The sequence below is a fragment of the Homo sapiens genome, chromosome 1 (assembly GCF_000001405.40).
Source record: "Homo sapiens chromosome 1, GRCh38.p14 Primary Assembly".
In the NCBI taxonomy this organism is placed as follows: Eukaryota; Metazoa; Chordata; class Mammalia; order Primates; family Hominidae; genus Homo; species Homo sapiens.
The window spans coordinates 31,409,095-31,435,623 of record NC_000001.11 but is presented as its reverse complement, the minus strand read 5'-3'; the positions used below and the strand labels follow the sequence as shown (position 1 = coordinate 31,435,623).

General features: G+C 53.0%; 1 protein-coding gene and 1 long non-coding RNA gene across 6 annotated transcripts in view, besides 41 other annotated features; one reads left to right on the top strand and one right to left on the bottom strand.

Moving 5' to 3' along the window:
- LOC124903900 (uncharacterized) overlaps positions 1–9,214 on the top strand; it is a 45,067-nt gene extending 35,853 nt beyond the window's left edge. The window contains exon 2 of the long non-coding RNA XR_007065585.1: positions 8,015–9,214. This is a non-coding gene — a long non-coding RNA (uncharacterized LOC124903900). The remainder of the gene's footprint in view (positions 1–8,014) is intronic.
- Positions 308–1,112: an enhancer, noted in NCBI's record as "H3K4me1 hESC enhancer chr1:31907359-31908163 (GRCh37/hg19 assembly coordinates)". NCBI's record gives its function as "activates a minimal SCP1, AML or CMV promoter by ChIP-STARR-seq in naive H9 embryonic stem cells {active_cell/tissue: H9 hESC(naive)}" and the evidence as "EXISTENCE:reporter gene assay evidence [ECO:0000049][PMID:30033119]".
- Positions 336–536: a silencer, noted in NCBI's record as "peak160 fragment used in MPRA reporter construct". NCBI's record gives its function as "represses an SCP1 promoter by STARR-seq MPRAs in K562 erythroleukemia cells {active_cell/tissue: K562}" and the evidence as "EXISTENCE:reporter gene assay evidence [ECO:0000049][PMID:32103011]".
- SERINC2 (serine incorporator 2) lies at positions 946–25,847 on the bottom strand. 5 transcript variants are annotated; one of them, NM_001199038.2, is made up of 11 exons: positions 25,772–25,847; positions 25,189–25,239; positions 11,770–11,931; positions 10,751–10,941; positions 10,215–10,294; positions 9,711–9,848; positions 8,801–8,970; positions 6,556–6,646; positions 6,086–6,227; positions 2,439–2,657; positions 946–1,560 (listed from the first exon to the last, which is right to left on the bottom strand). In NM_001199038.2, the coding sequence occupies exons 1-11, from the start codon at positions 25,784–25,786 to the stop codon at positions 1,425–1,427; spliced, it is 1,395 nt and encodes a 464-aa protein (NP_001185967.1). In that variant the 5' UTR covers positions 25,787–25,847; the 3' UTR covers positions 946–1,424. The 5 variants fall into 5 exon arrangements, with proteins under 5 accessions (NP_001185967.1, NP_001185968.1, NP_001185966.1 ...); NM_001199039.2 differs by lacking the exons at positions 25,189–25,239; positions 25,772–25,847 and adding exons at positions 19,717–19,751; positions 20,847–21,811; NM_001199037.2 differs by lacking the exon at positions 25,772–25,847 and having other exon boundaries at positions 25,189–25,471.
- Positions 961–6,818: a meiotic recombination region, noted in NCBI's record as "this region was identified as a recombination hotspot within the HapMap CEU population". NCBI's record gives the evidence for it as "EXISTENCE:nucleotide sequencing assay evidence [ECO:0000219][PMID:20981099]".
- Positions 1,369–6,052: a meiotic recombination region, noted in NCBI's record as "this region was identified as a recombination hotspot within the HapMap YRI population". NCBI's record gives the evidence for it as "EXISTENCE:nucleotide sequencing assay evidence [ECO:0000219][PMID:20981099]".
- Positions 2,230–4,185: a meiotic recombination region, noted in NCBI's record as "meiotic double-strand break mapped by DNA meiotic recombinase 1 chromatin immunoprecipitation followed by single-stranded DNA enrichment and sequencing in the germ cells of some male individuals with the PRDM9 A/C genotype". NCBI's record gives the evidence for it as "EXISTENCE:chromatin immunoprecipitation-seq evidence [ECO:0000229][PMID:25395542]".
- Positions 2,944–4,190: a repeat instability region, noted in NCBI's record as "repeat instability region; instability of the MS1 VNTR region has been observed". NCBI's record gives the evidence for it as "EXISTENCE:Southern hybridization evidence [ECO:0000078][PMID:12748906]".
- Positions 3,392–3,875: a minisatellite, noted in NCBI's record as "MS1 (D1S7) VNTR, 9 nucleotide repeat".
- Positions 3,407–3,419: a nucleotide motif, noted in NCBI's record as "nucleotide motif; similarity to the predicted 13-mer PRDM9 A binding motif (LD hotspot motif), CCNCCNTNNCCNC". NCBI's record gives the evidence for it as "COORDINATES:motif similarity evidence [ECO:0000028][PMID:19165926]".
- Positions 3,434–3,446: a nucleotide motif, noted in NCBI's record as "nucleotide motif; similarity to the predicted 13-mer PRDM9 A binding motif (LD hotspot motif), CCNCCNTNNCCNC". NCBI's record gives the evidence for it as "COORDINATES:motif similarity evidence [ECO:0000028][PMID:19165926]".
- Positions 3,452–3,464: a nucleotide motif, noted in NCBI's record as "nucleotide motif; similarity to the predicted 13-mer PRDM9 A binding motif (LD hotspot motif), CCNCCNTNNCCNC". NCBI's record gives the evidence for it as "COORDINATES:motif similarity evidence [ECO:0000028][PMID:19165926]".
- Positions 3,470–3,482: a nucleotide motif, noted in NCBI's record as "nucleotide motif; similarity to the predicted 13-mer PRDM9 A binding motif (LD hotspot motif), CCNCCNTNNCCNC". NCBI's record gives the evidence for it as "COORDINATES:motif similarity evidence [ECO:0000028][PMID:19165926]".
- Positions 3,488–3,500: a nucleotide motif, noted in NCBI's record as "nucleotide motif; similarity to the predicted 13-mer PRDM9 A binding motif (LD hotspot motif), CCNCCNTNNCCNC". NCBI's record gives the evidence for it as "COORDINATES:motif similarity evidence [ECO:0000028][PMID:19165926]".
- Positions 3,506–3,518: a nucleotide motif, noted in NCBI's record as "nucleotide motif; similarity to the predicted 13-mer PRDM9 A binding motif (LD hotspot motif), CCNCCNTNNCCNC". NCBI's record gives the evidence for it as "COORDINATES:motif similarity evidence [ECO:0000028][PMID:19165926]".
- Positions 3,524–3,536: a nucleotide motif, noted in NCBI's record as "nucleotide motif; similarity to the predicted 13-mer PRDM9 A binding motif (LD hotspot motif), CCNCCNTNNCCNC". NCBI's record gives the evidence for it as "COORDINATES:motif similarity evidence [ECO:0000028][PMID:19165926]".
- Positions 3,542–3,554: a nucleotide motif, noted in NCBI's record as "nucleotide motif; similarity to the predicted 13-mer PRDM9 A binding motif (LD hotspot motif), CCNCCNTNNCCNC". NCBI's record gives the evidence for it as "COORDINATES:motif similarity evidence [ECO:0000028][PMID:19165926]".
- Positions 3,560–3,572: a nucleotide motif, noted in NCBI's record as "nucleotide motif; similarity to the predicted 13-mer PRDM9 A binding motif (LD hotspot motif), CCNCCNTNNCCNC". NCBI's record gives the evidence for it as "COORDINATES:motif similarity evidence [ECO:0000028][PMID:19165926]".
- Positions 3,578–3,590: a nucleotide motif, noted in NCBI's record as "nucleotide motif; similarity to the predicted 13-mer PRDM9 A binding motif (LD hotspot motif), CCNCCNTNNCCNC". NCBI's record gives the evidence for it as "COORDINATES:motif similarity evidence [ECO:0000028][PMID:19165926]".
- Positions 3,596–3,608: a nucleotide motif, noted in NCBI's record as "nucleotide motif; similarity to the predicted 13-mer PRDM9 A binding motif (LD hotspot motif), CCNCCNTNNCCNC". NCBI's record gives the evidence for it as "COORDINATES:motif similarity evidence [ECO:0000028][PMID:19165926]".
- Positions 3,614–3,626: a nucleotide motif, noted in NCBI's record as "nucleotide motif; similarity to the predicted 13-mer PRDM9 A binding motif (LD hotspot motif), CCNCCNTNNCCNC". NCBI's record gives the evidence for it as "COORDINATES:motif similarity evidence [ECO:0000028][PMID:19165926]".
- Positions 3,632–3,644: a nucleotide motif, noted in NCBI's record as "nucleotide motif; similarity to the predicted 13-mer PRDM9 A binding motif (LD hotspot motif), CCNCCNTNNCCNC". NCBI's record gives the evidence for it as "COORDINATES:motif similarity evidence [ECO:0000028][PMID:19165926]".
- Positions 3,650–3,662: a nucleotide motif, noted in NCBI's record as "nucleotide motif; similarity to the predicted 13-mer PRDM9 A binding motif (LD hotspot motif), CCNCCNTNNCCNC". NCBI's record gives the evidence for it as "COORDINATES:motif similarity evidence [ECO:0000028][PMID:19165926]".
- Positions 3,668–3,680: a nucleotide motif, noted in NCBI's record as "nucleotide motif; similarity to the predicted 13-mer PRDM9 A binding motif (LD hotspot motif), CCNCCNTNNCCNC". NCBI's record gives the evidence for it as "COORDINATES:motif similarity evidence [ECO:0000028][PMID:19165926]".
- Positions 3,686–3,698: a nucleotide motif, noted in NCBI's record as "nucleotide motif; similarity to the predicted 13-mer PRDM9 A binding motif (LD hotspot motif), CCNCCNTNNCCNC". NCBI's record gives the evidence for it as "COORDINATES:motif similarity evidence [ECO:0000028][PMID:19165926]".
- Positions 3,704–3,716: a nucleotide motif, noted in NCBI's record as "nucleotide motif; similarity to the predicted 13-mer PRDM9 A binding motif (LD hotspot motif), CCNCCNTNNCCNC". NCBI's record gives the evidence for it as "COORDINATES:motif similarity evidence [ECO:0000028][PMID:19165926]".
- Positions 3,722–3,734: a nucleotide motif, noted in NCBI's record as "nucleotide motif; similarity to the predicted 13-mer PRDM9 A binding motif (LD hotspot motif), CCNCCNTNNCCNC". NCBI's record gives the evidence for it as "COORDINATES:motif similarity evidence [ECO:0000028][PMID:19165926]".
- Positions 3,740–3,752: a nucleotide motif, noted in NCBI's record as "nucleotide motif; similarity to the predicted 13-mer PRDM9 A binding motif (LD hotspot motif), CCNCCNTNNCCNC". NCBI's record gives the evidence for it as "COORDINATES:motif similarity evidence [ECO:0000028][PMID:19165926]".
- Positions 3,758–3,770: a nucleotide motif, noted in NCBI's record as "nucleotide motif; similarity to the predicted 13-mer PRDM9 A binding motif (LD hotspot motif), CCNCCNTNNCCNC". NCBI's record gives the evidence for it as "COORDINATES:motif similarity evidence [ECO:0000028][PMID:19165926]".
- Positions 3,776–3,788: a nucleotide motif, noted in NCBI's record as "nucleotide motif; similarity to the predicted 13-mer PRDM9 A binding motif (LD hotspot motif), CCNCCNTNNCCNC". NCBI's record gives the evidence for it as "COORDINATES:motif similarity evidence [ECO:0000028][PMID:19165926]".
- Positions 3,794–3,806: a nucleotide motif, noted in NCBI's record as "nucleotide motif; similarity to the predicted 13-mer PRDM9 A binding motif (LD hotspot motif), CCNCCNTNNCCNC". NCBI's record gives the evidence for it as "COORDINATES:motif similarity evidence [ECO:0000028][PMID:19165926]".
- Positions 3,812–3,824: a nucleotide motif, noted in NCBI's record as "nucleotide motif; similarity to the predicted 13-mer PRDM9 A binding motif (LD hotspot motif), CCNCCNTNNCCNC". NCBI's record gives the evidence for it as "COORDINATES:motif similarity evidence [ECO:0000028][PMID:19165926]".
- Positions 3,830–3,842: a nucleotide motif, noted in NCBI's record as "nucleotide motif; similarity to the predicted 13-mer PRDM9 A binding motif (LD hotspot motif), CCNCCNTNNCCNC". NCBI's record gives the evidence for it as "COORDINATES:motif similarity evidence [ECO:0000028][PMID:19165926]".
- Positions 3,857–3,869: a nucleotide motif, noted in NCBI's record as "nucleotide motif; similarity to the predicted 13-mer PRDM9 A binding motif (LD hotspot motif), CCNCCNTNNCCNC". NCBI's record gives the evidence for it as "COORDINATES:motif similarity evidence [ECO:0000028][PMID:19165926]".
- Positions 4,505–4,520: a nucleotide motif, noted in NCBI's record as "nucleotide motif; similarity to the predicted 16-mer PRDM9 C binding motif, CCNCNNTNNNCNTNNC". NCBI's record gives the evidence for it as "COORDINATES:motif similarity evidence [ECO:0000028][PMID:19165926]".
- Positions 5,481–5,496: a nucleotide motif, noted in NCBI's record as "nucleotide motif; similarity to the predicted 16-mer PRDM9 C binding motif, CCNCNNTNNNCNTNNC". NCBI's record gives the evidence for it as "COORDINATES:motif similarity evidence [ECO:0000028][PMID:19165926]".
- Positions 10,279–10,840: an enhancer, noted in NCBI's record as "H3K27ac-H3K4me1 hESC enhancer chr1:31897631-31898192 (GRCh37/hg19 assembly coordinates)". NCBI's record gives its function as "activates a minimal SCP1, AML or CMV promoter by ChIP-STARR-seq in primed H9 embryonic stem cells {active_cell/tissue: H9 hESC(primed)}" and the evidence as "EXISTENCE:reporter gene assay evidence [ECO:0000049][PMID:30033119]".
- Positions 10,841–11,402: an enhancer, noted in NCBI's record as "H3K27ac-H3K4me1 hESC enhancer chr1:31897069-31897630 (GRCh37/hg19 assembly coordinates)". NCBI's record gives its function as "activates a minimal SCP1, AML or CMV promoter by ChIP-STARR-seq in primed H9 embryonic stem cells {active_cell/tissue: H9 hESC(primed)}" and the evidence as "EXISTENCE:reporter gene assay evidence [ECO:0000049][PMID:30033119]".
- Positions 11,875–11,974: a silencer, noted in NCBI's record as "silent region_569". NCBI's record gives its function as "represses an Ori minimal core promoter by ATAC-STARR-seq in GM12878 lymphoblastoid cells {active_cell/tissue: GM12878}" and the evidence as "EXISTENCE:reporter gene assay evidence [ECO:0000049][PMID:35858748]".
- Positions 20,344–20,892: an enhancer, noted in NCBI's record as "H3K27ac-H3K4me1 hESC enhancer chr1:31887579-31888127 (GRCh37/hg19 assembly coordinates)". NCBI's record gives its function as "activates a minimal SCP1, AML or CMV promoter by ChIP-STARR-seq in primed H9 embryonic stem cells {active_cell/tissue: H9 hESC(primed)}" and the evidence as "EXISTENCE:reporter gene assay evidence [ECO:0000049][PMID:30033119]".
- Positions 22,163–22,663: an enhancer, noted in NCBI's record as "H3K27ac hESC enhancer chr1:31885808-31886308 (GRCh37/hg19 assembly coordinates)". NCBI's record gives its function as "activates a minimal SCP1, AML or CMV promoter by ChIP-STARR-seq in primed H9 embryonic stem cells {active_cell/tissue: H9 hESC(primed)}" and the evidence as "EXISTENCE:reporter gene assay evidence [ECO:0000049][PMID:30033119]".
- Positions 22,387–22,446: a silencer, noted in NCBI's record as "silent region_568". NCBI's record gives its function as "represses an Ori minimal core promoter by ATAC-STARR-seq in GM12878 lymphoblastoid cells {active_cell/tissue: GM12878}" and the evidence as "EXISTENCE:reporter gene assay evidence [ECO:0000049][PMID:35858748]".
- Positions 22,527–22,596: a silencer, noted in NCBI's record as "silent region_567". NCBI's record gives its function as "represses an Ori minimal core promoter by ATAC-STARR-seq in GM12878 lymphoblastoid cells {active_cell/tissue: GM12878}" and the evidence as "EXISTENCE:reporter gene assay evidence [ECO:0000049][PMID:35858748]".
- Positions 25,848–26,529: the final 682 nt, after the last annotated feature.

Sequence of the window (26,529 nt, the reverse complement as noted above, 5' to 3'; positions counted from 1 at the left end):
CCACAGGTCCCCGTGCAGCCCCACTAGTCACTCACCCCAGAACCCAGGAGAGCCTTAGAGACAGGCTGTGTCCCCAGCACCCATCCCCAGCACCTTCATACCTATTTTTTATCCCCACAAATGGAAGGGATGAATGGCCTGCAGTCCATCATCGTAACAAGACCAGGCCTTGGGGCCCTAGCCAGGAGCCTGTCAGTCTCCCTCACATCTCTCTGCCCTTGTGAGATGGGGGCTGATGTTATTTCTCAAGAACTCGCTGTGCCAGGCAGATTGCATGGGCTGCTTCCTCTGATCCTCACAACAGCCTAGGAGGGGTGGCATTGTTCCCATTGAATGAATGAGGAACCAGGGCCCAGAGAAGAGAAGGACCCATCCGGAGCCGGACAGCAGCCCCGCGGCTGCCGTGGTACGGAGGGATCTGGGCCAGCCTGGCTGACTCAAGAGCACATGCTCCTCCCCACAGCACCCCGAGGCCTGGGGCTTGACTGGTCAGGGCAGGTACCAACGGTGGTAACAATTCCAGGCAGGTCAGAGGTGGGCAGGACCTTGAGGCAGGCCCTGATGAGAGGGGACCTGAAGACCACCTTCTGGCCCTGTCATCGCCCCCTCCTCCCCACCGTGACTCTCTTTCACTGCCCTCCCTCGGATGGTTGGATGGTCGGGCAGCCTCCTGCTGGCCCCACTGCCTCTAGGGTCTCCTTTTCTGACCACCAGACACACCCTACTTTCCCAAAACCCTGGTCTGCCCCTCCTTCCTCATTGGCCCCCTCCCCTCAGGCGCTCCATGACCCAGAAGACAGAACTCAGGCCATTCTGTCTGCCTTTGAGGCTCCTCCTGGTCTGGCCCTGATGTCCCAGCCTCCTCAGCCCTAACATTCTATTCCCAAACCCCACACCGGCCCCCATGCAGTGGGGCTCCGTGCTGAGGGTGAGGGGCACAGAACATGGTACACGCACTGGCTTGTTTATTAGAAAAAGTCTTAGAGACTCAGTAAGGCACGAAGTCCAGGAAGTGGGCAGGGTCCCCTGGGGGACGTGACCAGGAACACCAGGGCTTCAGTGCCGGATGCCCCACTGTGGTGGGAGTTCCCCGCTCTCTCCAGCAGCCCCGCTCCCGTGGAGCCTGAGGACAAGGGAGCCCTTTCATCCGAGATGCTGAGTATGGGCAACAGGGAGGAGGGGAAGGAAGAGGCAGCTCCACCGTGTGGGTGTGGCGGGGGGATGGGGCTCTGCAGGAGCCTGATGCTCCTCGGACCCTGAAGGCACTACGACTAGAAGGCCCGGCTCAGGGGCAGGTCCTGGAGCTGGGGCAGGGGTGGGGGCTCAGCCTGGCTGATTGGTGTGGGGAGGGGGCAGGTTGGCTGTCACTGAGCCGAGAGGCACCAGGTGGCAGGAGGCACCAGATGGCAGGCTGTGAGGCTGCCTCAGCTGAAGTCGCGGTTGCGCAGGAGGAGTGGGGCTACCAGGGTCCACAGGTAGAGGAGCAGCCCTGCCCAGCTGGCACAGATCTTCACCCACACGGCGGTCCACGTGCTGATCATCTTCCGGGTCTCACCGGGCCTGGAACACACCATCTTCCCCATGAGCCTGGTGCCCAGTCTGGTGACTTCCATCTTGGCCCCTGGCCTTATGTCCCAGTTATGACCCCTGACTTCAACTCTGGCTCTTACCCTGTAACTCCAGTCCATCTCTGACATTTTTAACACCCGGCCTTGTGACCGTGGACATAGCTCCTGACCTCGATTCCCATCTTGAGCCCAGTGTTAGTCCATGAGATCATGACCTGACTCCTGGTCTCCAACCTTGTGATCCTAATTCTGGGACCTCAATCCTAGCCTCTGAACTTGGGACCCTGGAGCTCCTGACCTTAGTCCTGACCGCTACCCTTGATTCTGACCTTTGATCCTGTAACTTAGGGGTGGCCCCTGACCTTATTACTGTCATTTAGCTCCTTGACCTTGCCACTTCAATCCTGGCTTTATGACCTCCTACTCTCAATTTTAACTTTAACCAAATGACCAAATTTGTGACACTAAATGACCACAATCCCAGCCCCAGACCTCATGACTTCTATCCTTGACCTTGTAACTTTGGTTCTGCACTCCACACCCTGATCCTAACCCTCCAACCATGAAGCCCAAATCTGACCCCATGACCCCTGATTTGTAAACCCCGCCTGCCCTGTACAGGTCCAGCCCCAGCTGCTGTGCCTTCCCCGGTTCAGTCTCCTAGTGAAGGTGCGGGAGCTGAGCAGATGAAGGCACTGTTGGGGAAACTGTAGCAGGGAAGGGGCAGGCTCTATGGAGGGTCCTTGATACACACCGCCACCCCCAAGCCTTAAGCAGACATCAGGAAAACCCAGTGAAGGGCCGCAGGAGAGATGTGTGGACCTGCACCCTGCACCTCCGGGCTCTGTCCATGCCCCACCAGCTACGCACTTGTACCAGTTGGTGAGCGTCATCATGACGTGCAGTGAGGCCAGCACCAGGCAGAAGTGGAAGAAGGAGTAGCTGTAGGTGACGCCGTCCTGCTCGTTGTCAAAGGCCCGGCCCTCACAGGCTGCCACCTGCTGCTGCTGCTGTGTGGCGTCTAGCATAGGTGGGCACTCCTCGGTCTGCATCAGGCTGTTCACCTGCCGGTGGTCTGAGGAGCGCAGACTGCAGGGGAGGGAGGAAGGTGGGCAAATAGATAGCTCTGGCGTTGCTCATAACACTGGACACAAATGGTCCCAGAGCCTCAGAGGCCAGCGACCCGGTTACTGGGCCTGGGAGTTAACAAACTGCTTTGCCTCTCAACTCTACCCCTACCCCCACTCCCATTTTCTGTGTGACCTTGAGCAAAACACTTAACCTCTCTGAGCCTCTGATTCCTTGTCTGTAAAATAAGGGATAATCGTACCTCCTCTAGAGGGCTGCTGGGGGGACTAGACGGAATAATGATGTAAGGTCTCTAGCATAGTGCTTGGCACAGAATATAAATTCAATCAACAGTCACTATTGTTAGGATTGTTCCTTTGCCATTTCCATAAACACGTATCGAGTACCTAATACTACAAAGTACCATACCAGGTACTACATCCATTAAGAATGTTAATAATTAATCACGCTCATTTGCCATTGATTTTAAGTTTCCATTTTATTAGTGTCAGGTGGTTTTACCAATGGCCTCCCTTTCCTTCATGCTTACACTAAAAAAAGAACAACAGTAATGATTGTATGTCATGCTTTTCTGTGATGAGCCTTGATGTTTTTAACAGAATTTGATAGTTTGAGACATAAAAATTTTTGAAAAACCAACTCACGTTTCCAAACAAAAGTGAAAAGGAGAGCTGGATTCCAGCCCCGCCACCCCAGCAAATTGAGAAATCACCCCTTGCTGTGAGTCAGTGGGTCCCTATCCACCCTCTCCACCCTGTCCACTCTCTCCACTCTAACCACCCTATCCACCCTATCCACCCTATCCACCCTGTCCACCCTGTCCACCCTGTCCACCCTATCCACCCTAACCACCCTATCCACCCTGTCCACCCTGTCCACCCTAACCACCCTGTCCACCCTGTCCACCCTGTCCACCCTGTCCACCCTGTCCACCCTGTCCACCCTGTCCACCCTATCCACCCTATCCACCCTATCCACCCTATCCACCCTATCCACCCTATCCACCCTAACCACCCTAACCACCCTAACCACCCTATCCACCCTAACCACCCTATCCACCCTATCCACCCTATCCACCCTGTCCACCCTGTCCACCCTATCCACCCTATCCACCCTATCCACCCTATCCACCCTATCCACCCTATCCACCCTGTCCACCCTGTCCACCCTATCCACCCTATCCACCCTATTCACCCTCTCCACCCTCTCCACCCTATCTACCAAATACCATATGGATATCTCATGCATGGGAGCCCAGATTGGGTGGTCCTGGCCCTCATGGGTTGCATATGCTTCTTTGCTGCCTGTGCTGTAAGAACCATGCTAAGAACAGACCTGTGCCCCTGGGCTCTCAGCAGTGCATGTGCCAGGGAGCTGTGGGTGTGGAAGCAGCAGGAAAAACAGCTGTGCCAGGTCGGGGAGGGGAAGGGACAGAGAACCAGGGGCAGGGAAAGAGTTCCAAGCTCCTTGGCCACCGGCCACCATGTGCTCATGGCCTCCTCCCCGGCTGTCAGTTTCCCTATCTGTAAAATGAAGGTAATCAGGCCAGGAGTGGTGCACTCCTGTAATCCAAACACTTTGGCAGGCTGAGGTAGGAGGATTGCTTGGGCCAGGAGTTCAAGGCCATCCTGGGCAACATAGTGTCTCTACAAAAAAAAAAAAAATGTTTTTTTAAGTAGCCAGGCATGGTGGTATGCACCTGTAGTCTCAGTGACTCAGGAGGCTGAGGTGGGAGGATCACTTGAGCCCAGGAGTTTGAGGCTACAGTGAGCTGTGATTGTGTCATTGCACTCCAGCCTGGGTGACAGAGGAAGACCCTGTCTCAAAAAAGAAAAGAGAGAGGAGGGGGGAGGGGAAGGGAGGGGAGGGGAGAGGAGAGGACACAGAGGTAATTCAAGCCTTTCCAGCTTGAAAAGGAATCAAATGTGACAAAGAAGACAGATGTTTATGAACTGTACAGAACTGACTTGGAGAAAATGTTTTGAAAAAGGCCAAAACAGAAGAAAATGTGAAAGAGCTTTAAAATGTTCTAGCCCAGGGGCCTGGGGGCAGGGGTGCTGTTGGAACTGGGATGGATGGATCGGGGAGATCAGGGGAGCAGAGCCAAGATTCCCTCTAGAGTTAAGGGCAGATGGAAAGTGGTGCTTGGAGAAATGCAGGGCCACAGGGAGGCAAACTCAGGGTCTGCCTGATCCGTGTAAACAATAATTAAACCTAATCTTATGATCTAGTGACTTGTAAGAACAGCCACCACCTACAGCTACCTAGTTGTGCAAATGTTCACAATATTATGCTCATACTAATATACAAATGTTCACAATATTATGCAAATGTTCACAATAATATGCAACACTTAATTTGGCAAACTCCCAGGCTCAAGTGATCCTCCTACCTCGGCCTCCTCAGTCACTGGGACTAGAAGGTGCATACCACCATGCCTGACTAATTACAAAACCTTTTTTTTTTTTAGAGACACCATGTTGCCCAGGCTGGCCTTGAACTCCTGGGCCCAAGCAATCCTCCTGCTTCAGTCTGGCAAAGTGTTTGGATTACAAATAACTTACTACTTGCCAAGTTCCTTTCTAAGTGTTTTTGTTTTGTTTTGTTAATTTTTAAAAAGAGACAGCGTCTTACTATGTTGCCCAGGCTGGTCTCAATCTCCTGGGCCCAAGAGATCCTCCCACCTCGGCCTCCCAAAGTGCTGGGGGTTACAGGTGTGAGCCACCATGCCTGGCCCCTTTCTAAGTGTTTTACACATACTGATTCATCTATAGCCCTTCAACAATCCAATGAGGAAGGTACTATTTTTATCTCTATTTTACAGACAAGGAAATGGAGGCCTAAAGAGGTTAAGTGACTTGCCCAGGATCACATAGCTAGTAAGTGGCAATGCCAGGCTCAAATGCAGGCATTTGAGTCCACATGGATAAGCACCTACTAAGATGCCCCTTTGAAAAGAACCTCTATGTGAACTTCAGCATGAGCTGCCTTCTCTCGGGGGAGAGTGTGGGGTCACAGCCACATCCACTACAGTGGAGGTTGTCATCCTCTTACTGAGGAGGAAACAGGAGCTCAGAAAGGTTAAGCCACTTACCCCAAGCCGCACAGCAGGGGAGAAACAGACCCTGGACCCACTGACCCCAGTCCATGCTCCTTCCCTGACCCCACAGCCGTCTGCACCCAACTGAACTGGCCCAGTATGCAGGAAAGGGCTGTGAGCCAGGAGGCAAGGTCACGCCTGCCTCTGTTGCCCACTCATGCCATGCCCTCTGAGGGACTCAGTTTCCCCTCCCGCACAATGCAAGACCTGGATATATTGAATGTGAAGAGCACGTTCCAGTTTGGTATCCTGGCTCCCACACCCTCCCCTCACTCTGGCTCAGGGCCCTCAATCATGATCCTTCCCCAGAATCCAGACCTGGCCATACCTGATGAAGAGGGTGCACAGGAGGAAGATGATGAGGCCCACAATGCTCGGGGCATCCCACCACTGGGTCTCATAGCCCTCGGGGCCTGCCACAACTGTCTCGTTGCCCAGCTGGGTTGGCAAATGGGGGTTGCATTTCTGTTCTGGAGATGGGAGCACAATCACCCTCAGCCCATGCAGGCCAGGCCTAGGTAGCCAAGTGGCCCTGAGGATGGCTAGAGAGCCACCCCTAATAGACAGACAGATACACAGCCAACCACTCAAGTCCCAGCAACAGAGCGCTCAGCAGTCACAAGGGCAGAGAGACAACTCAGGAACAGACGGGGCCCTCCCATCTCATGGGAGGACTGAGTCTCAGAATGGGCTGGAGCAGGGATGTCCCTGTCACCTGTGAGGGTCCCCAGCCCCACAGTAGACTGATACTGACCCAGGAACGAGGCCAGGCCTCCTTGAGCCTGGGCCCATACTTACCAGGGATACTGGATAGGGCTGACCAGGTGACAAACATGGTGTAGAGGGTGATGACCGAGGCCTGCAGCAGACCCGAGTTGGGCTGGGCGTCCTGGCAAGAGGACCCCTGGTAAGACCCCTGCCAGACCAGAGACACCCCACCCCACCCAGCCCACTCACACCAGCCAAGGGACCTCAGAAACTCCCACCCACCTAGGATACCCCACCACACCCCACTTAGGGAAAACACCAAGCAGGCCACCTACCACCCACCTCACTAACCAAAGGCTGAGTCCTAATTCTTCTTTCTCTTAACACCCCTCAGATTACTTGCCCTCCTCCCCTGCTGAAACCCCATCTCATCACACTGAATTCCTTCATCTCCACCTGGCCCACTGTCCCCCTCCTCCCTGCTCTCCGTCTGGAGAGTCTGCCCAGCCTCTCCCACCACAAGGCCTTTGCCGTCGCTGTGCCCTCCCTCTGACAAGTTCCTTCCCAGCATCTCCGCACAGGCAGCGCCTCTTCAGTATTCAGACAGGACTCCTGCGGAGCCCTGGGAACCTGAACTACGGCAGCCCTGCACCTGCCAGCCACCCACCTTTCAGCCCACACCCTCTTTCATGTTCCACATTGCAATATTACCCAAAATCACCTCACTGGGCCTAGTCCCCTGTTGCCTGTCCTTCCCCACCCCTCACCACACATGCACATAAAAACATGAACCTGAACTCTGTGATTAAGAGCACAGGCAGCTAGGCATGGCGGCTCATGCCTGTAATCCCAGCGCTTTGGGAGGCTGAGGCGGGCAGATGGTTTGAAGTCAGAAGTTCAAGACCAGCCTGGCCAACATCGCAAGACCCTGTCTCTACTAAAAATACAAAAATTAGCTGGGTGTGGTGGCGGGTGCCTGTAATCCCAGCTACTCGGGAGGCTGAGGCAGGAGAATTGCTTGAACCTGGGAGGCGAAGGTTGGTTGCAGTAAGCTGAGATCATACCACTGCACTCCAGCCTAAGTGACAGAGCAAGATTCTGTCTCAAAAAAACAAAAACAAAAAAAATTTTAGGCTGGGTGTGGTGGCTCATGCCTGTAATCCCAGCACTTTGGGAGGCTGAGGTGAGCAGCTCACTGGTTACTTGGGAGGCTGAAGCACAAGAATCACTTGAACCTGGGAGGCGGAGCTTGCAGTGAGCCGAGATTACACCACTGCACTCCAGCCTGGGCAACAGAGCCAGACCCTGTCTCAAAAAAAAAAAAAAAAAAAAAAGAAAGAAAGAAAAAAGAAAACCAGAGCACAGACTCTGGAGCCAGCCTGCCTGGGTTTGAATCCCAGCTCCCCATGTGACCTTGGCTAGGCCTCTTCTCTAAGCCTTTGTTTCCTCATCTGCAAAGTGAGGATGAGGATGGTGTGAGGATCAAATAACATGTCCGAGGCCACTAACTACTGGCTATCATCATTATTCTTCCTCCCCTTCCTCACAGCCATATCCCCAACATCTAGAAGAGGGCCTGGTACACAGGAAGTGCTCAAGAGGTATTTGCTGGATAAATACTGATTGCTGTGTGACCTGGGACACAGACATCGCCTTCTCTGGGCTTCAGCTTTTCTTACTGGGATATGAGGCTCTGACCAGAAGGGAGGTTCCCAGCCTTTCTGCTAAAGACCCCTGAAGACTACCTAAGCCCCCTGAAGCTGCCGGTGTGCTGAGATCTCAAACCACAAAGCACCACTGTACTCACAAGGGGCTCCAGCGGTACTTTCTGAAGAACACGCAGTTCCTCTGGGAGCTCCTGCCCATTATTCCAGATGGTCTTGGATTGGAAATGTGAAATTGCACCTTCCTACACTACTTCCAGAGGTGTCTAGGAATCACCACTCAGGGACTGCCCCTAATGTTCTACTGATTTGCATAAAAACAAAAATGACAACAATAATAACTACAATAATAGCTAATGTCTGAGAGATATCTACAGGCCAGGCATGGAGTGTTTACAAATAGGATCTCAATCCTGAGAATAACTCCAATAGTAGGTCTTATTATCTCCATTTAATATTTGAGAGGCAGAGAGAGGTTAGGGCACCTCCTAAAGACACCCAGCATGAAGCCGTGAGAGCCTGACTATAACCTGGGGAGGCTGACCTGGGAGCCCACACACTCAGGCCGTGCCTCTGTGATGACAGCCCTAGCCCCAGGACCCAGGTTCCTACAAGAAGTCCCACCCACTAAGGGGCCGGGCTTCAGGCCAGGGGGGGTCAGGCAGGCTCACCTGGACCTTGGGCAGGACAGCAGCGATGGACACGCAGACACAGAAGGTGAGGTTGAGGCTGATGAAGACCTTGCCCTCGTGGCAGCCGCTGGGCTCAGTGTAGTACATGAACATCAGCGCCACGGCCGCGATCGACAGCAAGTAGAAGAGGAGAGTGAAGAAGAAGAGGCCTGGGCCAGAGGGGTAGTGAGAGGGTAGGCAGTGGGTGGGGCAGGAGGAACAGGGATCCCTACTCCCTCGAGGGACCCTGTTGGCAGCTCTCCCCCTCTCCAGCTCTCAGTTTCCCCACTTGAAGAATGACGTCACTGCCTTTCACCAACACCTTTGTGAGTCATTGCCCCACCCTGAGCTAACATGATTCACTTGCTACCTTGTAATAAGGGAATTGTAACAATAAATACAATGAACTCAAAACAGTCTTGCAAAAACTGAACGAGGTACAGGCTGTTGACCTGCCCTCCCTGTCTGAGAGATACTGGCAAGTCTAGGGAGGTGTGGAAACCAAACAGCACCCAGGTGAGCCTTTCTCCTCGTTGTGTTCAGAACTGAAAGGACCAGGGACTCACCCTGCTACTGGGGTTTCAGGGACCAGGTGTCACTTGAAGTTCAGCCTGGGCACCACCAAAAGGGCGTCCCACACTACTGGCTGTGTGTGGCCCACCCTGCAGGAACCCCCAAACAAGACCCCTCCAAGGCCTCTCCAGGTCAGCTCTCCTCGGATTCCCTGAAGTCATCCCAGGATCAGCTGGTGCCCCCCATCTCCCTGGGACAATTGGAATCTTGACCTAAGGCAGTGGCTGCTAGGGATGCCCCCCAGTTTTATCTAGCTTCAAGGACCCTCGATTTCTCAGGCAGCCCCAGCCCTGCCCAGGCTCGAGTCCCCACACGGAGGCAGGGTGGCAGCACTGACCTGCGTACCAGGCACGGGAATCGCACTCCTCGGCCTTGCCCAGCCACCGCTGGTTCCAGGAGTGCGCAAAGTCGATGAGCAGCACCAGCTGGATGAGGATGAAGAGGAAGGAGCCCACGACGCCGAAGTAGAACCAGACTGGGTGGGGAGAGGGGAGTGAGGCGAGGAGGGTCCCTCTCTCACATCTACTCGTTCAACAAGCGTTTTCTGCTACACCCTGCACCGGGGACACTGAGAAGAACAGAGTCCCTGCCCTCAGGGAGCCCCTAGCTACGCACAGAGGGCAGGATATGGGTCGGGGCAAGACAGCTCCCCCTACCCCTGGGTTGCACAAAGGCCGTGTGGCCAAGCACCACAGTGCTGTCTCACGGGTGGGGAGCGAGGACCTAGCCAGCAGCCAGGGGTCTGTGTGCCCCAGCAAAGAGCAGCCCCACCACGTTCCTCCAACCTGCCGCCCCACTTCCCTCCCCACAGCCCCCCATGCCTCCTGCCAAGTCCGCCTACTGTTGGTGAAGGAGCCGTCAGGAATGTAGAAGGCACCCACGGTGAGGCCCACCAGGATCAGGAACTTAAAGAACCAAAACCTACAGAAGGGGTCGGGGAATGGACAAGGAAGCTGAGTGCAGGCAGGGAAACTGGAAGCCAGACTGGGCCTGGCCCCAGAGCCCCCACCCACAAACAGCAGGTGCTGAGAGGGGTGAGGGTGGGCTTTCTGGTGGTCTGATAGGCACAGAAAGTCTCTCCTGGCCCTGGAAAAAACCCTAAGGGGCAGGAGGAAGGACCAAGCAGTGGTGAGGGTGGTCACCCAGGTCCAGCCCCAGCTGTGTCACTGAAGTGCTGCGGGGCCTGAGGCTTGCTGCCACCCTTTCTGAGCCTTACTCTTCATCTGAGAAATGGATATAACTCAGAGCTGTTCTCCATGCTGTGCCCTCCCGTGGCTCCTGAGTGGTGGGTAGGGTCTGCAGATCCCTGGACAGGCAGAGGAGCGGGCAAGGCACTGGGGGAAGGTCCCAGGGTGCAGGCAGGGACCCCTCTCTCACCCATTCTGGATGGCAGCCCGGGGGTCCCGGCTGCTGCTCACGCAGAGCATGAGCAGGGTGAAAAAGAAGAAGAAGGCCGCCGTGGCGAAGCACATGCGGTAGACAGCGCGGTAGCCAAGCAGGGAGCCACAGTCGATGTGGCCCTGCAGGACGGTGGGGATCCCGGCCCCCTCCTCACACACCCAGGGCAGCTGTGGAGACAGACAGAGCAGCGTCAAAGCCCCACCTCTCACAGAACCCTGGCAGCTCCCTTTATAAACCAGAGCCCTGGTCTCCCAAGGCCGGCCAGGAAAGAGGCTCTCCCAGCAGGGGCTGGACCAGACAGGGAGGGGAGCCCCTCACCTCTATCTCCACTGCCTCCGCCTCCATTCCTAGCCCTCTCTGGGCCTGAAGCCCTGGGAGGGAGCTCCCCAGTTACATCTTGTTATTGTTTATTTCCCACAGCCTCAGAAACTATTGCGCTGTCTAAAGCAGTGGTTCCCAAAGTGTTCTCCACCCACCACCTACATCAGAACCATCTGAGATGCTTGGGAAAACAGAGATTCTGTGGCCCCTCTCCCATGGAATAGAGCCTCAAGGTGGAGTCTGAGAATCTGCATTTCTACAAACTCCCCAGGGAATCTCATCTTTATACACACTAAAATGTGTATAAGGCACCTACGGTGATGCCCACGTCCCCCTGGGTCTGTGCTAGGCTGTAAAACACTGAGATGAAGGGAAGAGTTAGGAGCCCCAACCTGGGCTTAAGCACTAAGAGGGAGAAGAGCATCCCCTAGGCCAGTGTCCAGGGGGCGATAATGATTAATAAGATTTTCCAAGGAGACTGTGGCCTAAGAGAAAGAAGAATCCCCCCAAGAGGCTCAAGCCCTCCTCCCCTCATTTCCAACCTCAGATCATCAGTGCACCCAAACACCCTGCCTCCTCTTCTGGATAAGCTGTGACCCCAAGCCTGGGCCCTCTATCCTGGAGCCACTGACGCCCCTCGCTGGAGGCCGCCCTGCCTCCCCTGGGGCACTCACCTTGTAGAGCTGACTCTCCACGCCCGGGCTCAGCATAATGATGGACACCAGCACCCCCAGGAAGAGGAAGAACGTGAAGATGAGGCGGCTCACGGTGGAGTTGCGGCTGGCGGGGCAGCAGCTGCACAGGATGCAGGGGGCAGAGCCGCAGAGGCAGGACGCCTGCGGGAGGGCACTGTCACTCTTCCCTCTCCCCTTCACCGCCCAAGCGCGCACCTCTCACCACCTGCCCAGAGGTCGGCGCATCTGTGCTGCGCTAGGCAGGAGCACACTGTTCCCCAGACACCAGCCCATTGAACTTTCAGGTCCGAGAGGGAGGCTGGGTCATATAGGGCTACACAGCCAGTAACCACAGAACCCAGATTCAAACCTGGGTCTATCTCCAGTGATACTGTGGCTTGAAAGCGAGAGCTAGCCGAGGTCACGCTGTTTCTTTCTTACAGGGAGGGAGAGTAGTTTAAAAAAAAAAATCACAAGGCCAGCTGTCACCGATTACCTTCGTGACCTTATACAACTCACTCAACCTCTCTGTGCCTCAGTGTCCTCTTCTGTAACATAGTGGTATGTACTCCTCACAAAGCAGTTGTGAGAGTGAAACAGAAATTCCACATTGTAGCCCCCTTGGGCTCCCTTTCCCCTTCCCCACTTAATTTTTCCCCGCGGGACTTCTGCCATCAGCGAGGCTTTATGTTTTGTCGGCCTCCGCTTTCCAGCGGGGCAGGAATTTTTGCGTTTTGTTCATTGTGGTATTCCTAGAAATTCGAACAGTGTCTGTCACACAGCAGGAGCTTACAGGCTATCTGTTGAAGGAATATGAAGTGTTTGGCATAGTACCAGTCACATGTTAAGACCTCAGAAAACAGCAAGTGCAGAATAAACACCAGTTGGATAAACGGAATGATTTTCGGCTCTGAGGCTATACCAGCACTAGACAGCAGGTGGCGGTCTAACCCTTTCCCTCTCCAGGGTCCTCTGCCCCAGTTGCGGTCAGCCCTTCCCCTGGCCTGGCTGAAATCATTCAGGGGCTGGTGATGACACACTATGCCACACCTGAAAAGGAGACTCACCCTCCTGGGAGCCCAGTCCACAGCCCAGCCTTTAAAGAAACAGGCCCCACATCCAGATACCTCTGGTAAACTTTATCTTCCCCCAAACAGCCCCTACTCCTCACCCAGGGATTTAAGAGCCTGGAGAGCAACAGACATAGGCCTTGCCTTCCTGGAGCTTACACAAGCAGGAAAAACACTAAACAAATCATGACTCACATCGTGACAAGCGCTAAGAAGGACACGTACCCACTGCCAGAAAAGTGCTAATGCAGCCTAGGTTTGATTGAGGGTGGCATGTCAGGGAAGCCCTCCTTGAAGAAGTGACTTTTAAGCTGAGAGCAGGCCAGGTGCAGTGGCTCACACCTGTAATACCAGCATTTTGGGAGGCCAAGGCAGGAGGATCGCTTGAGCACAGGAGTTAGAGAATAGCCTGGGCAGCATAGCGAGACCGTATCTTTTAAAAAGAAGGGTTTTCTTCTTTTCTTCTTTTTTTGTTTTTTTTTTTTTGAGACAGGGTCTTGCCCTGTCACCCAGGCTGGAGTGCAGTGGCGCAATCTCAGCTCACTACAACCTCTGCCTCCTGGGCTCAAGCCATCCTCCCACCTCAGCCTCCTGAGTAGCTGGGACTACAAGCACACGCCACCATGCCTGGTTAATTTTTGTATTTTTTGTAGAGACGGAGTTTCACCACGTTGCCCAGACTGGTCTCAAACTCCTGGGCTCAAGCAATCTGCCCACCTCAGCCTCCCAAAGTGCTGGGATTACAGGCGTGAGCCACTGCACCTGGCCTTTTAAAAAGAAATATTTTAAAATAAAATAATAAGCTGAGAGCAGAGGGATGAGGAGACACTGCCAGACCAAAGGGAGGAAAGAAAGTTCTAGACAGGTGGCTCTGGGGTGGGTAGGGGCTGGGCATTTGAGGAATTTAAGAAGGCCCTCGTGGCCAAAGCTTGGTGAGCAGACAGTCAGCGGTGAGTATGAGGTCAGACAGGCTGGCAAGGCCAGACCACATAGGCACCAGCAGTCAGGAACAGGACACTGGTTTTCATCCTAAGAGCGGTGGGCACCCACTCGAGGGGCTGGAGCCAAGGGTCAGGAATTGAAAGATGAGCTTTGAAAAGAGCAGGCTGGCAGGGGCCCCTTGCTCCTCAGAGACCTCTGCTTTTCTTTCTGGACTGGTCACAAGGCACACAGCACACCCTGCTGGCGGGCATCTGCCTCCCCTCTTACTCTCCCCCAAACTAGAAATGCTCCTCGCCTATCTCTCGTTCACACAGATGCTAAACAAAATGCTTTGGAAACGAAACTATTCCTCATGGTCTAAATTGAAACAGTCCACCTGTCCAGCAACTTCTGGTTACATCTTGCAGCTGCCACCCCAAGACCTGCCTCCTATCCATGGCTGTCCTTGGTGGGTGAGAGGATAAGAAAAGCCTGAAAAATGTTTTAGAGGCCATAAAGCAGTGGTCCCAAACCTTTCTGGTACCAGGAGCCAATTTCAGGGAAGACACTTTTTCCACAGATGGCAGCAGGGGTGCTGGCAGGGGGCAGATATGGTTTTGGGATGAAACTGTTCCACCTCTGATCATCAGGAATTAGATTCTCATAAGAAGCACGCAACTTGGATCCCTCGCATGCACAGTTCACAATAGGGTTCGCACTCCTATGAGAATCTAATGCTGCCACTGATCTGACAGGAGGCGGAGCTCAGGCGGTAATGCTTGTTCACCTGCTGTTCACGTCCTGCTGTGTGGCCCAGTTCTTAACAGGCCATGGATAGATACTAGTCCATGGCCCAGGGGTTGGGGACCCCTGCTATAAAGAACATTCTGGGTATCAGTTAGAGCAGCTTATTAGTCCCATTTTACAGACGTGGAAATTGAGACCAGAGGGACTAAGAGACTTACCAGAGGTCACACAGCAAGTTGATAACAGCACTGAGATTCAAGTAGTATTAGTGGCAGCTACCATTTACGAAGGGTTACTCAGTCCCAGGCACTGTGATAAGCACTTTATCTACATTAAGCTTCACTGATGCTATGAATTGTGTGGTAACTTTCCATTTTCAAATGGGAAAACTGAGACAGAGAAGTGGCATGACCAAGGTCACACAGCAAGTAAGCTGAGGAGCTGGGATGCAAATTCAGATCTGTGTGCACCAAGGGCCAGGCTCTGCCTACAGGACTACACTAGTTCCAGCTCGCTAATTCACTGATGGTCATCTTATTTAATTTAAATACATCCCAGTGATGAAAAAACAAACAAACAAACAACAAAAAACCCAATACCAGAAAACCAAGGGAGGCCAGTGGGTACTGATCTCAGGAGCCAGGTGCCCAGGTGCCCTGTCAGGTCCTGATGCTGGCTTGTTACCATTTAATTTCAATTTGAGACATCTGAGACACAAGAAAGCTGTTCCGCTTTCAGAGAGCTTGGCCTTTCAGTTCGCTCTGGTTCTTAAACATCAAAATCCAGGTGTTCCTAATGCCTGAAATCTCAGGATTTCCAAGGGCCTGATCAGCAGCCAGAGAGACCAGGTCAAAGAGAAAAACACACACTGCTTCCAGAGCATCCTTGGAAATGTTTGTCCACCTTGCTCCATTCACCCCACCCCAGAATGGCTCCTACAAGAACCTCTTCCATTTGACCAAAATGTCATTTTATATATATTTAAATCTCTTCCTACAGAAATGCCAGACCATTGGAGTAAGGGCAGATGTGTGCACATATATACAAACACATGGAAATTCATTGTGGCACTGATCATAATAGGAAAATAATAGGGGGAAAAATTTTTGAGACAGGATCTCGTTCTGTCACCCAAGCTAGAGTGCAGTGGTACCATCTCGGCTCACTGCAACCTCCACCTCCGGGGCTCAAGCAATCCTCCTACCTCAGCCTCCGGAGTAGCTGGGACCACAGGCACCAGCCACAATGCCCAGCTAATTTTTCTTTTTGGTTTCTTGGTTTTTGTTTCAAGAAAGGATTTGGCTCTGTCACCCAGGCTGGAGTGCAGTGGTGTGATCTCAGCTCACTGAAGCCTCAACCTCCTGGGCTCAAGCGATCCTCCTACCTCAGCCTCCCAAGTAGCTGGGACCACAGGCATGCACCACCACACCCAGCTAATTTTTGTATTTTTTGGTAGATACAGGGTTTTCTCATGTTGGCCAGGCTGGTCTTGAACTCCTGGGCTCAAGGGATCCTCCCACCTTGGCCTCCCAAAGTGCTGGGATTATAGGCATGAGCCACCATGCCTGGCCATTAGGGGAAAATTGAAAATAACAAAACGCCCATCAATACATCATGGTATTCCATAAAACGGATTTCTCTGCTGAATGGGGCAAATATGTAGGTAACACTTAACTTGGGTACATTTCATTGTATACAAATAATACTTCAATTAAGTTAAATTTACAAATATAAAAATAAAGATTTTTATATAAAGAAAAAACTTAAATAAGCTTTAGGTTTTGTGAGCCTATTGGAGTCTCAAGAAACTACAAAAAACCTAAATGTCTAACACCTGGGGACAGCCGTGGCCCTTTCACTCCATGGAATGCTACAGAGCCAGAAAGATGAATTCCCTGGCTACAGAGCCACATGGAATAATGCTCATGATGCAGTGTGAAAGGAAGGCAGACTGGAAAGCTGTTCCCACACTACGATTACAACCACTCCCCTCTTCCTGCAGATGCACTCAAGGGCAGCAACAGAAAAGCCCCAGAACACTTACAGTGGCTGAATCTTAGTACCAGCCCAGGTTCTCAGAATGGAGAACTCAGAATTTAAGAAGCCCCAGGCCTCAGAGCCTTACAGCTGCAAGGTTCCTTGGCATTCAACCAATCCATTCTCTTTCCAATGAAGAACCACCCAGAAAGCATCTGGCCATCCTCTGCTGCTTGCACACTGCCAATGACAAGGAGCTCACTACCTCCCAAGGCAAGGCAGACAGCTCTGGAGCCATGAGTCGTTTGGCATTATGTGAACAGGCTGTCACTGAGTCATTCACATTGTCTCCTGGTTGTCCTCAGAGCCAGGGACAGAAGTTCTTAGAACCACTCATAGGGTGTTGGGTGGGTAAGGGAGGCAGCTGAGGGCTGGATGAATTTTTCTATTTAAAACAAACTGGCTGTCTGGGCGTGGTGGTTCATGCCTGTAATCCCAGCACTTTGAGAAGCCAACACAGGCAGATTACCTGAGATCAGGAGTTTGAGACCATCCTGCCAACATGGTGAAACCCCGTCTCTACAAAAAATACAAAAATTAGCCAGGCATGGTGGCAGGCATTTGTAATTCCAGCTACTCAGGAGGTTGAGGCAGCAGACTCGCTTGAACCCGGGAGGCAGAAGTTGCAGTGAGCTGAATCGCGCCAATACACTCCAGCCTGGGTGACAGAGCATGAGTTCGTCTCAAAATTTAATAAAATAAAATAAAATAAAGTGGCCCTCCACTTCTGGATATATATCCAAAAGAAATGAAGCAGGGACTCACATATTTACACACCCATGTTCATAGCAGAATTATTCACAGTAGTCATAAGGTGAAAACAAGCTAAATGTCCATTGGTGGACGAGATGAATGGATAAACAAAATGTGGTATATCCATATCCATACAATAGAATATTATTTGTTCTTAAAAAGGAATGAGGCCAGGTGCGGAGGCTCATGCCTGTAACCCCTGCACTTTGGGAGGCCAAGGCGGGCGGATCACCTGAGGTCAGGGGTTCGAGACCAGCCTGGCCAACATGGTGAAACCCTATCTCTACTAAAAATACAAAAAAATTAGCTGGGCATGGTGGTGTGTGCCTATAGTCCCAGCTACGCGGGAGGCTGAGGCAAGAGAATTGCTTGAACCCGGGAGGTGGAAGTTGCAATGAGCCGAGATTGTGCCATTGCACTCCAGCCTGGGCAACAGAGCAGGACTCTGTCTCAAAAAAAAAAAAAAAAAAAAAAGAATGAAATTTTGACACATGCTATAACATGGATGAACCCTCAGGGCATTATGCTAAGTGAAATAAGCCAGACACCAAAGAACAAATATTGTATGACTCCACTTAGATGGAGAGAGTAGCCAAACTCATAGAGAAAAGCAGTGAATTGGTGGTTACGAGGGGCTGGGGAGTTACTGTTTAGTGGGAGTTTCAGTCTGGGAAGATGAAAAAGTTCTGGAGAAGGATGGTGGTGATGGTTGCATAACAGTGTCAATGTACTTAATGCTACACTTAAAAATTGTTAAAATGGTACATTTTATGTTATGCATCTTTTACCTCAATTTTTTTAAAAGGGAGGGGGCAGGGAGTTTTCAAAGAAGAGCAGGAAGAGGCGAGAAGGGTATTCCCAGCAAAGAGAATGACACATGCAGAGCTACAGGGACACTGTATTTTCAGGGCAGCTGAAAGGGTGAGAAAAGCTACAGAGGTCACGGAAGTGGTGGTCAATGTCCCTGTATGCCATGCCAGGGAGTCTGGACTTCACCCTGAAAGCAATGGGGAATGATTGCGAAAGAAGAGGAATGACAGCAGATTTGCATTTTAGAAATATCACTTTGATCACAAAAAGACAGGTCATGGGGTAGTGTGTGGTATCTTTGGGGGAAGGGAGGAGAGTCAGGGGCTGTTGTCAGTAATCCAGATGAGGGCTGACAGTAAGAAGATGTTCTGGAGTTACCGTGTGCCTTAGTTGGCACTACTCCTTCTGACAATGCCATTCGTTTGGGATTAATTTTTATTAGGGTTGTATTTATTAGATCTCCATTTTAATATACATGTCTTCTAAAATAAATTACAGGCTGGGTGTGGTGGCTCATGCCTGTAATCCCAGCACTTTGGGAGGCCGAGGCCAGTGGATAACTTGAGATCAGGAGTTCGAGACCAGCCTGGCCAACATGGTGAAACCCCGTCTCTATTAAAAACACAAAAATTAGCCAGGCATGGTGGCGCACGCCTGTAATCCCAGCTACTCGGGAGGCTGAGGCAGGAGAATCACTTGAACCTGGAGGCAGAGGTTGCAGTGAGCCAGAATGGTGCCACTGCACTCCAGTCTGGACAACAGAGCAAGACTTCATCTCAAAAAAATAAAGTAAAATAAAATAAAATGAAATAACATACAAACTCCTTGAAGACTAAAATAAAAGGTTAAAAGAGTAAATTTTTTAACATGTATTTCGTCACAGTTTAAAAAATGCAAAACTGGCCCAGGCAAGCATGCACCTTGCCGCCTTCATGAACAACTCCGTAACTGGCTGAGCCGCCCCAGGGCTAGTCAAAACACAGCAGAGAAGAGGTCAGCCGGAAATGTCCCAAGGTGCACTTACTTCCCCCATGCAGTGCCAAGAATGCAGGTCCTAATGCTGGCTCTGCCACAGCTTGTAATCTGACCTCAGGCAAGTCTCTCCTCCCCTCCATGGGACTCAGTTTCCTCATCTGTAAAATGATCTCCTGGGGTAGGAGAGTACAGGGGCTCCGAGCCCAGGCTCTATAGTTAGGCAGCCCTGGGTCTCACTGGCTTCAGCACTTCCTTGCATGTAGTCTTGAGTCATGTACTACTGTGGGGTGTTTATGGACCGGCCACTGCACACCAGCTTGGTGCTAAATATGCAGCTGTGCTAACCTCAGTCCCATTTAATCCTCACAACAGGCTAAGGGGCAGACACCATTGTTTTCTCCACTTTACAGACAAGGGGATGGGCAAAGTGACTGCCCACAGTCACAGAGATGCGAAGAGGCAAAGCTAGGATCCGAGTCCAGTGGTCTGACCCAAAGGCCTTTCACACTCCCTAGGATGTGCAAGACCCTCCTGAAATCTTTGCAGACAGCCAAGTCATCATGTGCCGGCGGCTTGCCTGGTGGCCCCATCCCCTGTGGACCCATCTTACCTCCCCATCCAAAGCAGGACCCACCTTCAGCCCAGTTCACCTTCAGCCCAGTTCCAATGCTGAGAAGCACAATCAGCAGATGAGTCACACCTGGGAGGATACAAAAATCTTCCCCACTGACCCATGCATGCAAAAAAATCCCTCCTGAAGTTGCCCAGAAACCCCACATAGAACTTCACTCCTGTGCAGCAACTCTTCACTGCAACAGGATGGTACTGGTGTCCAGTAGTGCCCAACTACACCACTTAATGTTGTGTGGCTGTGGAGAAGTCACCTTCACTCTCTGAGCCAGTTTCCTCATCTGTGAAATGGGAACAATATTAACTGCCCCAGTGGGGTCTTTGTGAGGATTAAATGGAAGGAGATATATATATACACACACATACACATACTGCTCACTACTGTATGGGGCCTAGGCCACTCCTGGACAGCTCCACGCTGCGAGTGTTGGGATAGTTATCTGTAAAATGGGCTAACGATGTCATAGGGTAGAGGAGGTGGGGAGAGCCAATGAGATGGCATGGTGAGGGGCTCGGAACAGTACCTGGCTCAGTAAATGTCAGAGGCCAGAACCTCAGTAAATGTCGGAGGCCAGAACCCCAAGGGGATGGCACTGAAGGGAGGGCCGGGTCCCTTGCTGATATTACTCACTAAGTTATCTCCCAATTCTTCCCTGGACCAGCCCTGTGCCTCAGGCAGCCAGGATGTGGGGAAGGGAGGGAAGGTGTGGGCAGAAGCCTGGACCAGGAATCAGATGTTGATCCTAACTATGCAGTTCTTCATCCTTTCCCTGTGCAACCTTAGGAAAGTCAGCTATCTTCTCCGGGCGGGTGGCAGTCTTCTCATCTGTAAACAGATGGTTTGAGCAGTCCTATCTGCTCTCAGCATTGTAGAATGCTGTAACTCAGAGACCAGCACTTGGCTTTGCATTGTCTCCAAATGGAATTCTCCACCCACCTTTCCTTGATGTTAGCAATAATTCCCACAAGGAGCACTCACGATATGCCAGGAACTGTGCCTCATCTCCCAACAGCATTGTGAGAAAGGCCCTGTTACTGTCAACTGCCAGATGGGGTGACCAAGGCACACAGGGCTGGCAGGCTGCCCCTCAACATCTCCACCCCCAGGCCAGCCCAGCAGGGCCTGTGCCTCACCAGGTGCAACCGATGGAAATCAGGTCCACTGTGGAAGCTCTGCCTCCCTCACCAGGAAGCAAACCCTTGTTGGCAGAGACCTGGCCCAAACCTTGAATTCTTTGGGCTGGGAGGGATTTCAGGCACCAGCTTGATTCCTCCTCCTGCACACGCACATGCACACGCACACACACACACGAAAAATGGAGGCCTAATGAGGCGAGAGGCTCTCTTGCCTCTCTGTGCTGTCTATGCTGATCTCATTCTCAGAAAAAGGCTGTAAAGTAAATCTCTAGACCCTCAGCTCTCCCCTACACCCCCTCCTCTCTCTCTCTCTCTCTCTCACACACACACACACACACACACACACACACACAACCCGTCAGGGACAAAGGAAAGCGAGTCCCGAGATTCAGCAGCCGCTGCAGCCCCTTCTCCCTCTCAGGGCCTCTTTGTGTGGGGCCAGAGGGGGAGGGGGCTGCCTGAATGAACCTCAGATTTAATGAGGGGAAGAGGAAAGGAGAGGGGGGCTGGGGAAAGGGAAGGGAGAACGGGCCTCCCAGCCGGGGTCTTGCTGGAGCCCCTCCCCTCTGCGGCTGCAGCTACAGAACAGAGGTTGGCCTCCCCACAGGTCCCGAACCCGCGACCGGGCACTCCCCGCGCACACCCGAACCTCCCTCGATTCCTGCTCTCCCAACCCAGAGTTCCGCCCGGTGGTCCGTGACGACCCGCACCCGCCTCACTCGAGGGCAGCTAAGAAAGTCCGGGGCTCCCTCCGCTCCCATCCCAGTCTCCGCGCTGGGGCCCAGATGATCCGGGGCGAGCTGGGGAAGTGCCTGAGAGGCAGCGCGAGCCAGACTGAGGACGGTAAAGGGACCGCAGAGAGACTGAGGGACGGACGGGCGGACGGGCAGACGGACAGAAGACAGCAGACGGACAAAGACAGTCGGACGAACGACGGACACAGACAGGAACCAGACAAATACGAACGGACAGGCGGAGCCCGAGCGACAGGAACAGGCGGACTGGCAGGCGGCCAGAGGGGTAGGGCAGGGCACTCGCCAGGAGGGACGGGGCCCGGGCGACCTACACAGAGAACCAGGGCGTCCGGGACGGGGACAGAGGCCACCCCGAGGACCGCCCCAAGTGGGGCGACGAGGGCCCACAGAGCTGCCCCGACCCCGGGCTCCAGGCTTAGTCTCTCCAGGTCCCAGGAGGGCGCCCGCCGAGGGCACTCCCCTCCTGCCCGCGGAAACCCGAGCCGGGACCGCAGCTGCCCGGCGCCTGCCGGCCAGGACTGAGCAGGGGGACGGGGGCAGCGGGATCCGGGTGCCGAGTGAAGGTCCAGGAGGGCGAGCAGGCGGGGCACCGGCCCAGAAAGACAAGTTTGCAGGAAGGAAAAAGAAGAAACTACTCGGAGCAGAACAGAAGAAAGTGAGGGCCCGCAGCAGGAACGGGCGGCGCGCGCGGGCGGGCGCCGGGGTCGGGACTCACGCAGCTGAGCAGGGAGCAGGCTCCCAGGCAGGCCCCCATGGCGGCGGCTCCCGGCTTCGGGCGCCCGGCGCCGGGCGCGGGGCGCGGACCTCGGGATCCGGGTGCCGGGCCTGGCCCCTCCCCGGCCCCGGCCCCGCCCCGGCCCCGCCCCACCTACCGAAGCCGCTCGACGCTTTCCGGCGGCGCTCGGGGCCTCCCCAGACTCACCTGGGGCAGGTGCGCCAGGAGGGACCCTAGGGAAGGGGCCGGTCGGGGATTCCCGCGGCCACGCGAGCGGCGCAACCTGACCCAATCGTGGCCCGGGCTCGCATCCTGCTCCAAAGTGAGCGTTCGGAAATCGACCTCGGTTTGAGCCCGTGTGACCCCAGGACACTGTCACCCTTGGGAACAGAAGCCAAGAGGTGGTCACCGCTGACTCCTCAGTGCTTGGCGCAGGGCCTCTGCTCAATACGTAGATGCTGAGGTTGAATGCTGAATGACTGGATAAAGAAACTTCGGCAAGTCACTGCACCTCTATGAGCCTCAGTTTCCCGGTCTGTAAAGTGAGGATACATACCTCACAGGGTGGTTACAACACATGGTAGGTGCTTGACAAATGTAAGCCCCCATCGTCACTGTTTTCTTCTTCCTTTTTAAGAGACAGGGTCTTGCTCTGTCACCCAGGCTGGAGTGCAGTGGTGCAAACATAGCTCACTGCAGCCTCGACCTCCTGGGCTCAAGTGATCCTCCTGCTTCAGGCTCCTGAGTAGCTGGGACTACAGGTGCATGCCACCATGCCCACCTACTGCTTCTTCTAAGACCCCAGCCTCTCACTCTAAACCCATCCTCCCTTCTCTCCATCTGTTCTTCAAACTCCACTGACTCCCAACAGCCTGCTGGGAGCTACACACTCCCTACAGCCACCCCTGCTTGGTGGCTTATCACTCCCTAGGGATGCCCAAACTGGTCCCTAGCTAAGGAGGTCAGAAGGTGGGGAGGGGCGGCCACATTCCTGACAGATGGCTTTCCAGGGGTAGGTGTGAGAGACCCAGAAGTAGGGCTCTGTAATTAGTCTCCCTTCACCCTTAGCCCTGTCCTCAGCCACCTCTGGACAAGATAATGTTAGGGAAAGAAGTCTCTGTGCCTCGAAGCTGGCCCCAGGGCCAAAGAGCTGGTTGACTGCATCCTTGGCTGATTCACTGGGCGCCAGGCTTAGCCATTAATTGCACCAGGACTGTTCCACAAACACACCCTATACTTTTCCTCCTCCGCACTTTTGCCCACACAATGCCCTCCTCTTTTTTTTTTTTTTTTTTTTTTTTTTTGAGACAGGGTCTCACTCTGTCACCCAGGCTGGAACACAGTGGCCCAATCATGGCTCACTGCAGCTTCAACCTCCTGGACCCAAGTGATCCTCCCACCTCAGCCTCCCAAGTAGCTGTGACCACCAGTGTGTACTACCACACCCAGCTAATTTTTTAAAAATTTTGTGTAGAGATGAGGTCTCCTTATGTTGTCCAGGCTAGTCTCGAACTCCTGGGCTTAAGCAATCCTCCTGCCTTGGCCTCCCAAAGTGCTGGTATTACAGATGTGAGGCACTGCACCTGGCAGATGCCCTCCTCTTAAAGGTCCTTCTCCTTATCCCTCTTTCTCCCCTTTGAAGCTTGCTCACATGCCATACCTCTCAGTGAAGAGAGCCACCACCCTCACCCCCAACCCACTACCTGGTTCCATTAGGAATGAACATCCTCCTGATTCCCCCAAGCCTCCAAACAATATGGGCCTCCCTTATGGCCTCACAAACAACCCGAGCACATGCCCAACTTTCCCCCGTGGTACCATTTGAGCCCCACAACAGCCCTGAGAAGTCGATTAATTCCCCACCCACTCGTTTACAGATGAGGAAACCGAGAAACAAAGAAGTAGTGACACGCGAAATGTAAATCAAGCGTCGAATAAACGTTGACTGTGATCACTGTGGTTGTTGTTACTATTGCTGAAGGCCACACAGCTCAGAAGAAACAGAGCTGAAAGGCAACCTGGCCTGGCTTTCACCCTGATGTCCTACTGCTTCCCTTGAAAAAGTAGAGGTGACAATATCTAGTCTTCCTATTTTTCTGTCCAGCAATATTTCAGTCCTTCCCTAACCCGAGGCCTTTAGGGGACTGTGAGCCACCCAAGAACGGTCTGCTCTCTGGCCACCCCCTCTCCTACCCAGAGCACAGTACAGGGCCTGGCACACAGTCAAGCAGTGAATGCTTACTGGATGAATGTCTGACCTTTTACCATAAGTCCACTTTCCTCCTTCTTCTGTGACTGACAGTCTGATCCAAAAACATACCCTACACAGTCATCTTCTGCACGGAAATCCTTTAGACTGAAATGCCACCAAGCAGTCTCAAGTGAGCCCTCCTCACATGCTCCCGTCCCAGGGTCAGCTCCCTTGGACACTTCTGCTCTAAGAGCTGAATTTTTCACCCCCAACCCCTCCCTATCCATGACCTAGAACAGTAGAAAGCACCCAAGACCAAGAGGATCAACCCCTGGGATTCTTGTTCTGCCACAGATGACCATGCCCCATGCCATCCTTGGGGGGCCACTTCACCCCACAAGGGGTGTCCGTCCATCCCCTTCCCGGAAATAGGTAGGGTTATTCTGTTTAACCTCACAGAGCATGTGTGAGCATCTGCAAAGACACTCTCAGAAATAAGCAGTTATCTGCAAGGAACGAGGGATTAAGATGACTGTATGTGTAAAGGGATAGCCACTCTGACTTCAGGCTAAAATTTTCCAGAGCAAGGTAATATGCTGCCACTGTCCTGGCCTCCTGCCTGCCCAAGACCAAGGCCGGCTGGGCTCTCACACGCCCAGCATGGAAGGCATAACTCACTGTGTGGCTGGGTCCGGGTGACTCCTCCTCTCTCAGCCTCATGCTTCTCATCTGTAAAATAAAGATAAGTTTTTTTACCCCAGCTATCTGAGGGGACTACTGAGGAGATGAAGTGAGGACATGGATAAAGAGCTTCATTTCTTGGTGTCCTGGCCAGCCCATCAGCCTTTACTCCCAGATTTGAACCTCCTGCATGGGGCCAGAGTAGCTCTGTCTCTTGCACCCCCAAAAGCACAGTCACAGTCAGCAGCTATGTGATACTGGCAAGTCACCCAACCACTCTGAGCCTCACTGGAGGGTTGGAATTCAGGATTCAGCTTCTCCACCCAATGCTATGTAAACCATGTCCCTTGAAATAAACATGTAGGGGTCATTTGGTCCATTGCCCTGTGCCCATCACCCAGCCCAGACAGATGCTCAACTCCAGTTCCCAAAGGAAGCAGACTCTGACTTCTTGGACCACCCACCCCAAGGTTCTCTAATCTGATCTCACTGGGCCTGAGTTTTCAAATCTGCAACATAGGAACGAACTCCTGCCCCCGCCTCAGTGCCCCCAATCCATTCTCTCCCCATCCCCTCTTACCATCCTCCCGTCCATGAGGACTCAGATGTGTGCCGGCTTTGAGCCCTCCTATCCCTTGGGCTTCGCTGTCTGTACTGGCCTCTATTTCCTGCTTCTGACCCATTTACAGAGCAGGGCCATCCCTTATGAATATGCATATAAGATAATGAGAGCTTGGGATTGGGGGAGCATCTGGGGAGAGGTATTCACATACGCACCATCCACTCTGCTCTCCCCATAAACACCCCCCAACCAAGGCTGTCCTTCCTCACAAAGCGTGCATGGGATTTCAGAGCAAAGGCTAAAGTAACAATAATCATATTCATAGCAAGCATTTTTAAGAGCTTACAACATGCCAGGCACTCTGCTGAGATTATCTCCTTTAAGATGAATTTAAGGTAGGAACTATTGCCCCCATTTAGCAAATAAGGAAATTGATGCTCCAAGAAGTTAGGTAACTTGTACATAAATCATACGGGGAACATGCACAGTGATCATGTGCAGAGCCAGGGTGGAACCCAGGTTTTCTCAGGAGAATGCAATTCCAAAGCTGGTGCTCTAAACCCCTGCGCCCAGATGTTCAGGGCCAAGCCAGGAGCCCTGAGCAGTCATGGGGCCACATCTGGATCTCACATGTCAGCAGATGAGCCCACAGTGGTATTAGGTGATTTTGTGAAAGGACCCAGGTCCTGGAAGGGACTCTATCTGGAAAGTATGGAGACAGGCAGACACGATGCGTGTTCATATGTGTGCAGGCACACAGTGATGCAAGCTTGAGC

Coding starts and splice junctions, on each gene's coding strand:
- SERINC2 (NM_001199038.2), bottom strand. Junction 10,942..11,769: donor TGGAGAGTCAGCTCTACAAG/GTGAGTGCCCCA, acceptor CTGTCTCCACAG/CTGCCCTGGGTGTGTGAGGA. Junction 10,295..10,750: donor CGGGCTGCCATCCAGAATGG/GTGAGAGAGGGG, acceptor CCCCTTCTGTAG/GTTTTGGTTCTTTAAGTTCC.